Genomic DNA, 14094 nt, shown 5'->3' with positions numbered 1-14094 from the left:
TCCTGCTGTTTCATTTAACTTTAGCTGAACCTTTTTTTTAAAGTGTTTCCTAATCTACCCTAATTTGCTTAAACTCCTGATCTGCCATTTCTCAAACTGTTTGTTTACATCTCACTGGAAATGTGTAACAGTTAACAAAGTGTTTTAAGAACTAGAAATAATGACAGAGTTAGACATTTTAACTTATAGCATAAAAGACATTTAAGGCTGGGCACGGTGGCTCACACCTGTAATCCCAGCATTTTGAGAGGCCAAGGCGGGCAGATCACCTGAGGTCAGGAGTTCCAGACTAGCCTGACCAACATGGAGAAACCACGTCTCTACTAAAAATACAAAAATTAGCCGGGCATGGTTGCAGGCGCCTGTAATCCCAACTACTCAGGAGGCTGAGGCAGGAGAATTGCTTGAACCCAGGAGGCGGAGGTTGCAGTGAGCCGAGTTCGTGCCACTGCACTCCAGCCTGGGTGACAAGAGCAAGACTCTGTCTCAAAAAAAAAAAAAAAAAAAAAAGACATTTAAATTAACACACAGGCACTCACAGCTCAGTCACAGCTCCCTAGGTGGCAAGAGCCATATCTGGCTAGGAGCTCCTAAGATGAAAACAACCTTCTTGTGCCCTCAAGGAGCTTGAATCTGGAGAAGGAGACAAAACATCCACCCACTATTATGAGAAGTGATATGCAGGTAATAGGAGCCAAATATTCTTGAGGCAAAAGAACCCAGAACAAGCAACTTGGTGGGAGAGGGGAGAATCAGTGCAATATGTATCTTATCCTCTATTATGACGTTTAAAAAAATGTTCTATCAAGGAGAAACAGTTTATAGACAAATGATAAAATAAGGACAATGGTCATCTTTTAAAACTTTCCACTCAACCTATATAAATAGCAAAATATGATACAAATAAATAAAGCAATGCTGAATTGGGAATCAGAAGCTTGGGTTGCACCATGAATTAGCTTTGTGACTTTGAGTAATGAAACTACAGGGAGCCTCTGCTTCCTCAGCTGTAAAATGAGGGAGTGGACCTAGGTGAGTTTTAAGGATTCTTTTGGCTTTCCCATTATCTGATCATCTGCAATTATTTTCATCAAATTACAGGTACTAGCAACAAGGTTAACGACAAGACCTCATAAGACTGGACAGTAATTCACCTTTACCTCATACATGTTACTTGTGAGTGCTATGGTTTGAATGTTTATGTCTGCCCCTAAATTCATATGTTGAAATCCTAGCCCCCAAGGTAATGGTATTAACAGGTGGGGCGTTTGGGTTTAGTGTCTTTATGAAAGAAATTGCAGGCCAGATGCAGTGGTTCAAGCCTACGATCTCAGCACTTTGGGAGACCAAGGCGGGAGAATTTCTGGAGCCCAGTAGTTCAAGAACAGCCTAGGCAATATAGTAAGACCCTATCTCTACAAAAAATAAAAAATTAGCCAGTCATGGTGGCACGTGCCTGTAGTCCCAGTTATCCCAGAGGCTGAGGCAGGAGGATCACTTGAGCCCAGGATTTCGAGGCTACAGTGAGTCACGATCATGCCACTGCACTCCAGCCTGGGCAATAAAGCAAGACCTTGTCTCAAAAATAAATAAATAAATTTAAAAAAATAAAATGCAGAGTGATAGCTAATCCCTTCCACCATGTGAGGATACTGCAATAAGGTACCATTTATGGGAAAGTGGGTCCTCACCAGACATCTAATTGGCTGGCACCTTGATCTTGGACTTCCCAGCCTGCAGAACTATAAGAAACAAACACCTGTTGTTTATAAGCTACGCATTGTATGGTGTTTTGTTATAGCAGCCCAAACAGACTAAGACAGTGAGCTTAGTTTTACAACCTTCCTTTCTCACATTCCCTTTCACATTATTAACCTTCTTGTCCTTTATATTTGCATAACCCTTAATACTTTTCAAAGTATGTTCATATTCATTATCTCAAGTCTTCTGAGTAACTCCTCCACATTCTAACCATACTGCAAATAATTTCCCTCACTCTCTTGCTAGACCTACCTCTTATAACCTTATTCATTCTTATTTCATATTACTCTGCTTTATGCTTAACTCTTTTCCCCTTTCCTTTCTTCTAAAGGAACTAGATACATCATTTTCTACCACCTTTCCACCCTCTTTCTCCATTACAGGCTATTCTAAATCACTGAAGTGAATTTGTTTTTGACTGAGTGCTTAAAGCTGAAACCTCAAAGAACAGAAGCACAAAGGTGACTCTGGATACTACTACAGTCAGTTTAATTTAGAGACCATCTTTCTAAGATGGTTTCTTCAAAAAGACAATGGACCTAGGAAGTTCTGAAGTTAGGAGCTTGAACGAGGGGAAAGGAGGTTTGTCCACGCAGGCAGGATGCTAGAGAGGCACCAGTCCCTCACCTGAATACATGGTAAGATTAGTGGAGTGGGGTTTCAGGGATGGCATTAAACACAGTAATGCCAAAGAGAGTGGCTCCATCTTTCAAAATGTAGTTTAGGTATATATCAAACTATATTTTTCTAATTTCAGCATTCTTAAGGAACAGCATTTGTTTTTCAAAAGTATTAGTAATCTAGTGGGAGTTATAGACCTTCTTCGTATAAAACTGTACATACGAATAATTTTGTAGACAATTACAAGAAGCCATGGAATTCCTGGGTCCATGGGTCTCAGGTTAATGAACTTTGCACAAATAGCCTAGATAAGCTATTTTGTGGATGTTACATAACTCTAAGAAAAGTAATCTCCATTCTCTTTTATCATATTGATGTAAAACTTTTTCATTTACCAGAAAACCAAGGATTAAGTCATCTAATTGGAACAGTCACAATGTTTTAGCTTCTTTTTCGTTTTTAATAATTATTAATGAGAATGTTGGCAGAGCAGGGTGGTATACACCTGTAATCCCAGCTGTTCAGGAGGCTGAGGTGACAGATCACTTGTGCCCAGAAGTTCAAGGCTGCAGTGAGCCATTATTGCACCACTGCACTCCAGCTTGGGTGACAGTGTGAGACTCTGTCTCTAAAATCTTTTTTTTAAATAAAAAAAGACAATGTTACGGAAGAATAGCATGATGACGGTTATTGTCAAACTACATGGACATGTCTACATGAAGACAAATCAGCTGATCATTAATATAAAAGCAAAAAGTACTCCTCTTTTAAAGAAAAAAAAAGATTGCATTTTTTTCTGTAATATAAAGTCCAAAAGGAATCTAATTTTTTAAACTGAAATAATCAAATGCTTTGGAATCATATGCTTACATATTCCCAAGAATTGTTATTCTAGGAGCCTAGAAGTGCTAATGGGCCTCTCCAAACACTTAACTCTTACATAGAACACAGATTATTAAATATACAATGAAGAACAACAGACAAATGTAACCTAGAGAGTGTAGATTACCAGGAGAACATCCATTGTTTCTGTATTCTGGCTAGTTTTGGGCATAATCTTGAGAATTTCAGTTCCAGACAAAAAATACTTTCAAAAAGGCATAAAAGTTCCAGTATGCAAAGCAACTTCATAAAATGTAATATGTATTCTACAAAAAGTAGGAAAAATTTTGATTTGAAAGCCAAACTCAAGAGGAAGAAGAGATTTTAATCTTTCAGCTTGGTTTTTAAATAAAGTTGATTTCCAGACATCCTTTTTAATTCTCCAAAAATCTCAACCACAAATTTTATCACCTAAATACCTAAGAGAAATATGAAAACAATGAAAGATGATGATATTTTTGGCTCACTAACTTTTGTAAAGTTCTTTTTCTTCTTATAATAAACTTGTGAATATTCTCAATAAAAGAAAATTCTTACGAGACTGTACCGGGGAAAAAGGTGCCTTTAGAAAAGTTTAGTAAAATCCACAAGTAGAACAGATTGAAAACTAACAGTGTTTATTTCAAATCGTTTGCTAAGTAACAGAGAGTTCTTCCCCTCCCCCAATAAATCCCAAAGTCAAGATTTTCTTACAAAATACAAAAGCATGTTAAAAAGATTATAAAGAAACAAATTTTTAGAATTTTTACTTTTATGCATATGTATATGATATTAGTAGCATTAAAGATCCTGAGAAAGGCCATGAAGCAATTTAAAAATTGAGGCTTTTAAATATCACAATAGTATGTAATTCTTGCCTCACAGCTGCCATCACTATCTTAAACATTCATAATAATAGTTACCATTTGCAAATATGTTAATGAAGCTTAACTGGCTCTTGAGAAAATTAATCTAGTTGAATGCCATCAAATACATTTTTTTAAAAAACTATAAAACAACAAATTTTACCTGCAATTGTAAATTACATAATATGTTAGACAGAAAAACTCATTCACTGTGTACCGCAAATCCATTTTTTTCGTTACAATCTTTATGGAACCTAAAAATATAACTCTTTCCTTTCTTTAACTCATTGACGTTAAAAGATGGAGATAAATGCTTAAAAATTACAGATTTTTGAGGGTACATATGAAATAAGTATTATGACTTTTAGTTAACATGGATAAAAAGTAAAAATATCAATATTCATTTTCTGAAAAGCATATTTTCTGTTTCTTAAATTTGGCTTAATAATACCTAATGCTACTTACTGTATAAGAAATTTAAAACCTAAGTTTGTCAAATATACTTGTACTGAAATCCAACTAAAAGAAATAATGCCTGTTCTTTATTAGACAATATGCACAGAACTCAGAGTTCCACTGCTAAGGTTGAGAGTGCACAACTCAACTCATTACAAGTCTAAAAGTTTCATGAGTTTCACCCCAGGTATCACAAGCTAAAATTCCAGGCCTCTGTGTCATTCCCTGAAACATCTGCAACAGAATTTAAAATTCTTGATAAATGAGATAAGCAAAAGCATTTACTTAATTAGATTTTTAAAGCATTATTTATTAACTCATGAAGTAAATCAACGAAAAGTTTTATACCAAAAAGCAACGTACAAACATACAACTTAATCTTTCATTTAGAAGTTGATGCCCTAGATGTTTTTTACTTAATGCAATTGTAAACATGATTTTCTTAATATTGGCTCAATTAAATACAAGCTCATGCTAAAAATAATTAACTCATAAAATTAAACTATTTTAAAGCAATTTAGATAGGTGCGTTCTTGACCTTGATAGGGTTTTCTGTTTCTTATAATCTACAAGGAATCCAAAATACAATCTATAACTTTTTTATTTTTTTTGAGACGGAATTTCGCTCTTGTTGCCCAGGCTGGAGTGCAATGGCGTGATTTCAGCTCACAGCAACCTCCGCCTCCCGGGTTCAAGCCATTCTCCTGCCTCAGGCTCCGGAGTAGCTAGGATTACAGGCATGTGCCACCACGCCTGGCCACAATCTATAACTTTGTATACATATGTATAACCTAATAACCTAATGCATAGAAGCATCTGATTGTATGTTTATCTGGAGTAATCTGTTTTGGTGTCTTTCCTGCCAAACCACTTCTGGTGTTTCAAGCAGGGCAATGACAGCATACACCTTCTTGTTATTATTTATGTACAGAAGGCCAAACCAAATGTCTGGGTGGGTCTCCAAACACATAACATCAGTAGTTTTTTTTCCATCCACAGGACCCAATTACATTGAAATAAACTAACTCCTAGTGAAAGATTGGCTCTAACAGAGAATACCACACAACCACAGACACTGAAATGAAATCACAGTCATAAGTATAGAAGCCACCAACATATTGTTAAAAATAGTCTGTAGTACAACCTCATACATACATGGACAGTCAAATAGTGCACATTAGTTATGAAAAGAAACTGCTCCTTTTCTTTCTATGAGGTGCATCCTTCGTGAAGATTTCCTAATTTTAAAAGTTTTCTGTCTCAGGCTAAATGTGTAAAAATACCAGCAGGGGCCCTAAGGACTACTCTCCTCACAGAGGCAGAAAAACTGTCATGTGGGGCTCTGGCTTTAAATGGGTGGATCTTTTAGCTGATCCTGGAGTGGCAGAGACTGACAAATGTGGGGAAGTCCTTAGCCGTGAGATGAGGGTTTAGCTTGTGGGCTCTTGGTCAACTGAAAGGTTGCATTCAATGTAAATTATAGGACTGCTCTTTAGATATATACTGCTTCCCACCAGGTGAAAGTTAAGCAGAGCGTCGGGCTCATTCAGAGATGGCCTAGTAGCTTCTTAGCAAGGAGGGGAAGCGAAGCAGCCATGAGCAATTATTATCGCCATCTCTGAAGGACAGAAAGGAAGGAAGGAAACATTTTTATAGAGACCTATATTAAATTTCCTTTTTAAAGTGCCTCTATGTATTTCTCGTTCCAATTTATATGAAAAAAAATATTAGTTTTAAAACTACAACAGAACTGGCAGTAAATATACCTGCAACAATTGTTCTTTTATTAAATATTTATTGAAATAAATTCCTGTGCCTTCTCATTTTTCTTCTTCTGGTTCCAATATTTATTTACAGCTGATTATTAACATCTGCCAGTATAACGGTTTCATCCATACAGAAGCCGAAGGGTAAAAAAGTCACACACACCCTTCTAACGTGACCTGTAGTTAGACAGAAAACAGTTTTCCCAGTCACTGCTTGGCTTCCTGTCTGTGACCTCTGAAAAGCATTGGAGGCCAGGGTTAATGGCCTTTCCAATCTCTGTGATAAGAATTCATTTTGTTCTATTACCAGCAGTTATCTGAGGAGCCTGCTGCATCACTTCAGCAGGGTTCAATCAATGAGAGGACCTAATGAAGTAACCAGCTGTAGCTCTATTTCTCTGGCCAGCTCTATCAGACAAATAAGATCTATCAGTCACATCTTAAGGCTGATCCTAGACACAGCATCTTCACATGCTGAACTCCTATGCATATGAACTAATGATACCCCGCCATTTCTTTTAAAGCTTCCCTTTTGATATAGGTTTTGTAGTGCTGAAAATGAAATAAGTTCTGAGATGTTATTTTAAGAGGAAAACAATGCAAGATGAAATAAGAATGAATTTGCAGAACAGTGAAAGAGTTTATAAGAATAACAAATGTTAAAACTATGTGGCATCCAAGCTTAGGCTCTTAACTTGGCAATTCTCAAATATTTACACTTTAGGTTGATATTTTTTAACCTTCAAAAAAATGGGGAAGGATGAAAAGTTACTATATTCAATTTTATCATATTTATTGATAGAAGTTTAATGATAGGACTTGCATTTTTGACTGGGTCTTCGGAATAAAAATATAATTATGCTGTATTTTTTACTTTTTGGTCAAATATCAATCAACGTAAGACCGTAAGTTAACTCTGGGTTATTTTATATTATCAAATGTCACTAATCACACAAATTCTATTATTTATACATTTTAATTTTTTAATTACTAATTTGATTCACCTTCCCAATCCAAAAGAGCATTTATTAATGGTATTTTTACACATGGAAATTTCAGAAGGGAAAACAAAGCCTAGCACCTTCAATTAGTGGCCTCATAAAAGTATTAGACAGTCATTAGAAGTACTATTCAAAATTAACCCTTCTGTGGAAAGGGGTACTGATAATGGTTCTACAGTTTTTAGACTATTTCTCAGGGAAATTTTGAAGCCAAGAATAAAATATTCATATTTGCTGATATGAGGAAAGCTACAAGTACCTTCGTTTACTTTATTAGGTTAATCACAATGAATTTCATGTAATACAATTTGTATTCTTTTAAATTTGCTGCTTTCTTTGTCAAACTGGAAAAAAAGAAAACATGGCTATGTGCTGTTATGCTTAAGAGATGATATCTAAGGGAAGCTACACAGATCAAAATTATTTGCTAGCCTTGTGCTAGATAACCACATTCACACTTGCAAAAATGCCCTGTTTCATTAGAAGACAATGGTTATTCAAGCAGTATTGCCAATATATTAGGACATAAAAGTACCAAGACAAGCGTTATTCAAGCAGTATTGCCAATATATTATGACATAAAAGTACTAAAGACTATATTCCAAATGTCTAGATTTTTAGGGGTATATAACACTGCTTTCTTTTTCAAATTGCAATCACAGAGATGTTTGAGTGATACGGGTATGATATCCAGATGGTCTTTTCATTCAAATCTTTGGAGATGTAAATGAAAGATTAAGGTGCACTAGATAAGAGGCTGGATGTAACAGAAAAAAACAACCCTGGTATTAAAGGAAAATAAGGTGTGGTGTGTTTGTGTGTGTGTGTGTGTGTGAGAGAGAGAGAGAGAGAGAGAGACAGAGAGATAGAGAGAGACAGAGACAGAGAAAGATTCCTGGACCTCTAACCATCTAGGTAAGTGCGAAAAGGACTGAAATATCTTTGCTGAATATGTAAACAGATAAGAATATGCCTAGCAGGCATTTTGGGAACATCTGTCAATTTTTTATAGAACACAATGATTGTGGGCTATTGATTGCATTTAAACAAAGTTGTTGCAAAAAAATCAGCTAACAATTCGTGTAGAAAGGGCCAATCAATATTTAAATGACTCACTTTATTGATTTAAAATTAACTTTCAATTAAGAGATCCATAGGACTCTTAACTGCGACACTTATCCATTCAAGAGAAAATAAAGGTACATTTATCGATACACTTAAACAGCAGTGGCTGGTTTCCTATCGATTCAGTCATTTGCGCTGGGATTCGTTAGCGTCATCAGCCTTTAACTCGCTTACTAGGTCTTCGCAGTGTACCATACTGCAAGATGTAGGAATGCGCAAAACAACACAAAGAAAGGATAGAAATTTAAACAGAATTAAAAGATATAGGAAAAGGTAAGTCAACCTTACACTTTTATTTTCCTTTTAGTATTACAGAAGGAAGAATGTTTAGATAGATTATTTGGGTGACTATTAGAAAAAGAGGGGCTATTTTTCAAAGCAAGTGGTTTAGATATGGCACATTTTAAAACTGTGTAAACAAATGAAATCTTTGAACAATTGACTAGTAAAAGTTTTTTTGGCTTCTATTGACTAACAAGAACACTAACTTGAATATACTGGTTATATTATAATCAATGGTAGCTAAAAATAACAGTTTATGGAATTTTTTAAAGACAATAATTATATTTCCTATTGGAAATACTGTATATATGTGTTTAAGGCCATATTTATTCAACAACATTGCAAGGGAACCACACAAGGCTATGTTGTATTATTTTGATAATCTACCAGTTATTATATTTTATAATTTATTTTTATCAGGGTTTTCATGAAGAATAAAACTAATACAGAAAATTAAACTATTATATAGTATGGATGAATAAAAACATGCATAGATAAGATTTATACATGTATTTCAAAATCATTACTATCCACTTATTTGTTGTGTCTTTATTGCCACTAAAAGGGAACTCTGGATACAGAAGGAGGCATTGATTGTAAATCTTTAACTGCAATTTCTAACATTATATCAGAAGAACAAAACTGAATGATCTCCATGGGGAATGGCATCTTAACAGGGCTGAGTCTCCAACAGCCTGATTGTAATATGTGTGGCCAGTGTTACTCTTTTTCAGGAATTCAAAACTATAGGTGTGGCTTTTTGGTTTAAGATGGTAATGTCCCCAGCCTATACTACCTCTCTTATAGCCCAATTGTCTTGTCCTCATATTCTTCACTATACAGAGCTGTCTGTATGAGAAAGAAGCTATCCCAAACAGAAACCCCCTACTCATTTACTGACATGCAATTCCTGGTAGGAGAGAGAAAGCTGCCAATCTAATTCTGCTTGTTCAGAATCTATTTTTAATCATCTTTACATTTACTGTGAATCTTCATTCATTCATTATATCCACTATGGATACAAAAGATGTTTTCAGTAATTTAAAGGTTAGCCTTTAGTTTTTCTCTGTGCACCGTCTTTGGTGGTTCTGCTATACCACTATACCACTTGTGTTTTCGATTTGCTCTAAACTTGTCAGAAAAATTTGGAGTGGATGGGAGTAAAAAAAATCACAGATTCAAATGTTCAGATAAAAGAAACCCCTCCTACAAAATTAGTTTAATCACATAATATTGGTGTAACAGAATTTGGAATATATTGTGATGATTACATTTACTAAAAAGTGCATGATGCCATTATTTCCAAGGAGAAATCAGATGATCATGCTAATTAAGTGATAGCAAGTGGCAAAGGATGCCTGTCACAGGCCTCTCTGATCTGCAGAGAGAGATGTGTGGTTCCCAGCCTAAACACTCAGGAGTAGTAACAATTGGCTTAAGCACTATTCAGTCCCAAGGTGAATCCCAAATCTCAAATAGGGGATTCACTTTAATTTAACACTTCCTTATCACATCAAAGAGGTGAAAAAGGCATCTTTATGAATTGGCTTGCAAGGACCGAAATAACAAAAACAAAAAAAATCAAAAACATTTTGGATTTTATCCCAGTACCTAAATTCTCTTTAAGAACTCTTGGGGACACTTGGAAATGACTATAGAAAAATTTATATATTTTAAGATTCAAGCTATAAATCCATGTAACAAAAATAATTAAAAGCTTAGTTCTTTTAATCTCTTGAAAGTTATAAACTTCCAATTATATTATTAAAAAGAAAGTACAGAACTACCTAAAAATACCTGTTCATTGGACCTAACTAATGTATTGGCTCTGTCCGATAAAATAAATTATCATTACCTCAGCCAGATTTACACCTCTTAAAAAATTATTTGCTAATATTTTTTCTGTGTCATTAATCCCATTTTACCTATAACCAAAAATAATAGAGCCTACCTTTCTCACAGCAGGCTTTGGAGAATGTTGACTACTTTAGTAAGAATGACACTGAGTCTACACCCATAGTCCACTGGTCAGATCTCAAGAATTTCATACGGCCATCTCATCATTTCCCTGTGTTCACTCGTTATCATCTTAATAACATAAGACATCAAATGGTTTGGAGCTAGGCATCTTGTCTTTTGGATGATCATGCTACGTGTTATTTGAGTGGGATGTTGTAATTTAACAGTGATAGAAAAGGAGATCTGCTTGAAGATGATGAACCATGCTGAGTGAGTCATGAGAAAGTGCAGGCAACACATGCCTAAAAGGCAAACCCAGTGATTCCTATAAAGGATGGGAAATGAAGGTTATCTAATTTCTGAAATTCTCTTATCTTGCTTGATCTGCTTTTGTAGTGTTTATTTCAGGATCATTATTGTATTTTTTACAATAGATCAAAGACATGGTTGATAAGACTTGATTCTAGATAAATTTGTTGCATTTCAGATATCTTACAATATATGAAATCTCACAGCATGGCTAGTTTATTTAAACCTTTTTTTTTCCCCTAAAGGCGTACTTACACCGTAATTTCAGAAAGGTTTCATATCACTTTACCCAAATCATGGCTAAGATGGACACAAATAATTACAGGAATTAGTGCTACAGGGTGTAAAATTGTTCTTCTTGTAGAAGAAGTGCATTCATTTCATTCTGGAATTCCCTGCTGAGACATGATGTGTGCAAACTATCTAAGGGACAACATAATCCTCTGATGCTTATAAAAAATAGTAAAGTTGCATGTAATCTCTGACTACAAAAAAAAAAAAAAGCCTAAGTGTCATTCACACCAAGGACAAATGCCAAGTATTCTCTGCTGAGCTCACTGATGATTCTTGTTCTGTAGAGAAAAAGCCAGAAATTATGAAAATCATTAGTTTCAGCCTCAGTGGAAGTAAATGTAATAGATTGAAACTTCATATCAAAAATTCAAAATAGCTATATATCTTTAGTGCATACTAAATTAGGTAGTCCTTTATGATCTGATTTCTTTTAGATGCATTTTTCCCTTTATCCTTTACAACAACCTCATTTTTAATATTACAGCTAAAGTGAGTATCCCTTACTAAAGTCAGTGGCTATCTTCTGGAAAATGTGGAAACAAATTTGGTTATGCGCCATATGCCATTTGATTAACTGTACAAAATGGAATAACAGTAAGCTACAGCACATAGAAGGTCACATGAGGGATTTTTAACTTCTTGTTCAACCACAGAAAATCAGGCAGCGTTAGGCATGAGGACTACTTTCTTACCCTTGTATGCCACTGATTAGTTCAGCCTTAGTAGAACAGAAATCCTTAATCTTCTCTTTTTAATATTGAAGAGGTAAACCCCTTTCACCTGCATGTGGAGGCTGCCTTTTCATCAAAGCTCAGGAGATTCCAGTAACAAAATCAATGTATGCATGTTCAGAGCAGTTTTCAGGGTTTTGTAAGACAAATCTCTCAAACGGGGGCTAGTTTAATGCTATTGAGCTGTGCTTCGATCTAACCCAGTGAGTGAACAACACAGCAACAGTTCACTTTGGGATCCTTCTCCACAAATGCAGCTGTGGAATTTCGCCATGACCTCTCACCTCACTTAATCCGACTTTAAACCTCCCAGTGGATGGTTAAATAAATAAATATTTAAAGGTAACCCCAAATCAACAAACATAATTAATTAATTTCTCTCTTCCATGTTAATAAACTAAACTTGGGGAAGTTTCCACCTGATGGAGTGCTTTTCCAGGGGCAGGGCAAATTCTGCAAACTCACATTTCCTTTTTAAAGGTAATGTTTGAAAAGCCAGTGAAAAATGATAATATATATGTATTTTTCTCTTTTCTTCAGTATATAGATTTGTCGACTGAGTCAAGAATAATAATTTGTTTTAAGTGGAAGTATTTATTTTCAGGTATTTATGGTACTCACTAAAAATGCTTTGATTCCTTAACAGTTTATGCTTTCTATCTTTAAAAATATTAAATGACTACTTCGCTATTCAAATTCCTCTGTTACTAGAAATCATAAAGTCACTAAATATACATTGTCTTATATAGTTTTTAAATTAAAAATTAAAAGTATGATTGATTTTTGAAAAATTAAATTTTGGACATTGTGTTACACTCAACTCTACGGTGGAAAAGCCTTGATTGTTTTCCTCACGTTGCTTCCATTAGTGTCATAACTTCACAAATTACCTGATGTTAAATCAATCATGACTTTACACAGCTACAGGCTTCCTTTCATAAAATAATATTTTATTATGGCAGGAATAAGGCATTTGAATATTTTCTAATGTTTTGGAAACATCAAAAGGAAACCATCTCAGATTCCTTGTTGCATTTTGAGGTGAGTATTTTCTCAGACATTAAAAAGACTGCTGGACTTAATGCAAAAATTCTAAGTCTGAATTATAATCAAATGTTAATGCAGGAGTATTTCAAAATCTAGGGCAAATCACTTTTGTATAATTACAATGTGAATATAAAATATTTAGCATCATTTATTTCTTCAGGCAAATGATATATACTTACTATCTTTTTATTGGTGTATTGTCAAAATGGGTTTTAATTTAAAACTAAATGTAACATAATAAGGCAAAAATATCCCTACTGATGTTGAATGAGTATTTGTGGCTTTCTTGTTTATTTGCCCTATTTATATTGACTTCAGGTGTAAAATTGGTGGCTTATATTAAATCAAATATTTCTCAAACTAAAAAGAACAAAAATGAGTGTGCAATCATTAGAGCTACTTTATACTTTTTAGAAGTAATTCAGCTGAGGATAGACACAAACACCAAACATTTTGATAACATTGACTACACTGTCCTCCACTACTCTTAGGAGGTTACATTTGAGTCATGATTCACACTCTACCAAGAAAGACCTATTTAGAGTTTAATTAAGAATAATTAGTGTAAATAAACATTGTCAAAGAAATTTAGTTACTTTTCTTAATTATATAAATGCAGTTTACAAGGATAAATATTAAATTCGTGGCTATTTTACCTTTTAAAAATGTTAACACTAATTTTCAAACATCAAAAGACCTGCTACATATGCCACCTTACCCTCTTCTTTCGGTCATACCACACACACACACACACACACGCACACACGCGCATGCACACACACACAATATTGATTTATATTCTTCCAAAAGAAAAGGCTGGATTTTTATTTCTGTACTAGACAGAGGAATTTCCCTTGCTCAAAAATATTTTAGAGTAAATTTGCGTCTTTCCTGTTAAATGGATATTGCTTACTGTTGGTTGACAGCTCAAGTGTGCTGACAGGAATTAGTGAAAAATGGGCTATCATAGAAAATATCACACTTTTCGGTCTCAGAGCCACTAAAGGATACAAAA

The 14094-nt window shown here is 34.7% G+C and overlaps 1 protein-coding gene across 2 annotated transcripts in view, besides 1 other annotated feature; it reads right to left on the bottom strand.

Annotated features, from left to right (window-relative positions):
* The window catches only part of ZFHX4 (zinc finger homeobox 4), a 186035-nt gene that overhangs the window by 50181 nt on the left and 121760 nt on the right, over positions 1 to 14094 (bottom strand). The window lies entirely within an intron of this gene.
* Positions 5592 to 5651: a silencer, noted in NCBI's record as "silent region_19305". NCBI's record gives its function as "represses an Ori minimal core promoter by ATAC-STARR-seq in GM12878 lymphoblastoid cells {active_cell/tissue: GM12878}" and the evidence as "EXISTENCE:reporter gene assay evidence [ECO:0000049][PMID:35858748]".

The sequence above is a fragment of the Homo sapiens genome, chromosome 8, assembly GCF_000001405.40.
Source record: "Homo sapiens chromosome 8, GRCh38.p14 Primary Assembly".
In the NCBI taxonomy this organism is placed as follows: domain Eukaryota; kingdom Metazoa; phylum Chordata; class Mammalia; order Primates; family Hominidae; genus Homo; species Homo sapiens.
The sequence above is the reverse complement of the archived record's forward strand: the minus strand, read 5'-3'. Positions and strand labels throughout refer to the sequence as shown.